At 43.9% G+C, this 1,954-nt stretch overlaps 1 non-coding gene across 1 annotated transcript; it reads left to right on the top strand.

Annotated features, from left to right (window-relative positions):
* Positions 1-387: 387 nt before the first annotated feature.
* Positions 388-447, top strand: MIR548H5 (microRNA 548h-5). Its single transcript, NR_039610.1, has one exon. It is a non-coding gene; the product is annotated as a microRNA 548h-5 (primary transcript).
* The last annotated feature ends 1,507 nt before the right edge of the window (positions 448-1,954 follow it).

Raw genomic sequence — 1,954 nt, forward strand, 5'->3', positions numbered from 1 at the left:
CTTCTCTCTTATTCTTTGCCTAAATCTTGGGGGGTCCTTCAAGATTCGCTCAGGCATCACTTTCTTTAGGAAGTCTTCTATGACCCCAGTACTTTTTGTATGTAATAAAAGAAACCAACTAAAATTAGATCATGACAAAAAGGAGGGACATTGTTTTAAGAATAAAGAAATATTTAAAACCCAAAGACAGTAGGTGAGGGAGAGTAGAGCCACGCAGGTGGGGGCTAGGGCCCGACAATCAGGTCACTTCATGTTCCCTCCTGTCTCCGTTTCTTTCCAAAAGCTCGCTCCGTGCTTGCCTTTCTGTGTATGGCAGATTCCTCTGCTGACTCACCTTGCGCACAGCACAGCATGGTCTCCCTAAGCCCCTTTTTCTATTAGGTTGGCACAAAAGTAATCGCGGTTTTTGTCATTACTTTTAACTGTAAAAACCACGGTTGCTTTTGCGCCAGCCTAATACGTCATGATCTTCCAGCTATGTCTGCTGCAGAATTCTCAAGCAACAGAAAACCTCAAACCAAGCCAAGGAAACCTCAGTCCCAGCTGAGTCAATGGGTTGCTGGATTTCTGTGAGGCCTCCCTCTCTGTTCAAATTAGTCATGGGGCAGTGCCATGTCCCAGGATCTGTGGGACTTCCCCTTCTAGTGGCTGTCAGGAGAATAGGTTTTCCAAAGTGGACACAGGATAGGTGTAAACAATGATGGTCAAAAGGACTATGGCTCTTAATTTGGAATTGGTACCTTTCCGACGGACTCCAATACATTGTATTTTCTTTCATAGCTGTTAACACACTGAATTGCAATTAACTATTAATATATTTCTCTGTCCTCCCCACTGGGCTAGAAGTTTCTTGTAAGAATGGGCCACTCTTTTTTTCTTTTCTTTATCCCTATTGTTTCTAATACAGTCCTTGGTATACAGTGTGTTCAAAGGACGGATATATTATTATTCAGTATAAACATTTGCAATTGATTTTCCATATTATTATGGTAATGATATGTTAATTAATTATATTAATATGGTAATGTTTTGCTTCTCTGTTCTGGAATCCTAGAGTCCAAGGGCTCTGGTTTTATTTTCTTCATCGACTAGACCTCACCTCCAGTTTTCTCTTGATAAAAGGGAAGAGACACAGTCACCAGCTGCATGGAGGCAGAAAAATAATCTGGCCTTCTAACAGCTTCTTAAACAGATTTTCAACCAACTCTCTTGTTTTCTAGTCCTACCTTCATCCTCTAACAGAACTACCTGGTGCAGCTCAACCTGGTTGCATCTTTTTTGTGTGTGTGTGTGAGATGGAGTCTCACTCTCACCCAGGCAGGAGAGCAGTGGCACGATCTCGGCTCACTGTAACCTCTGCCTCCCAGGTTCAAGCAATTCCCCTGCCTCAGCCTTCCGAGTAGCTGGGATTAAACGCGCCTGCCACTACACCCAGCTAATTTTTGTATTTTTAGTAGAGACAGTGTTTCACCATGTCGGCCAGGCTGGTCTCAAACTCCTGACCTCGTGGTTTGCCCACCTCGGCCTCCAAAAGTGCTGGGATTACAGGTGTGAGCCACTGGGCCTGGCCCCTGGTTGCATTTTGACTGTCTCCACTTCTGTTTTAGGGTTAAACTTTCTTGGGTCTCCTAAAGCAATTACCAAGTGTCCATTTGTTTGTCCATCTAATATTCTATTAATCACCCTCTTTGTCTTTATGGATCTATGTCTTTTAAAAAAAAACCAGGTCTGGCATGGTGGCTCATACCTGTTATCCCAGCACATCGGGAGGCCAAGGCAGGAGGATTGCTTGAAGCTAGGGCAACAAAGCAAAACCCTGTCTCTACCAAAAATTAAAAAATTAGCCAGGTGCATTGGCTTTCACCTGTAGTTCCAACTACTTGGCAGGCTAGGGTGGGAGCATCACCTGAGCCCAGGATTTGAAGGCTGTATTGAGGATATGATTGTACCACTG

Source organism: Homo sapiens, chromosome 6 (genome assembly GCF_000001405.40).
Source record: "Homo sapiens chromosome 6, GRCh38.p14 Primary Assembly".
Classification (NCBI taxonomy): Eukaryota; Metazoa; Chordata; class Mammalia; order Primates; family Hominidae; genus Homo; species Homo sapiens.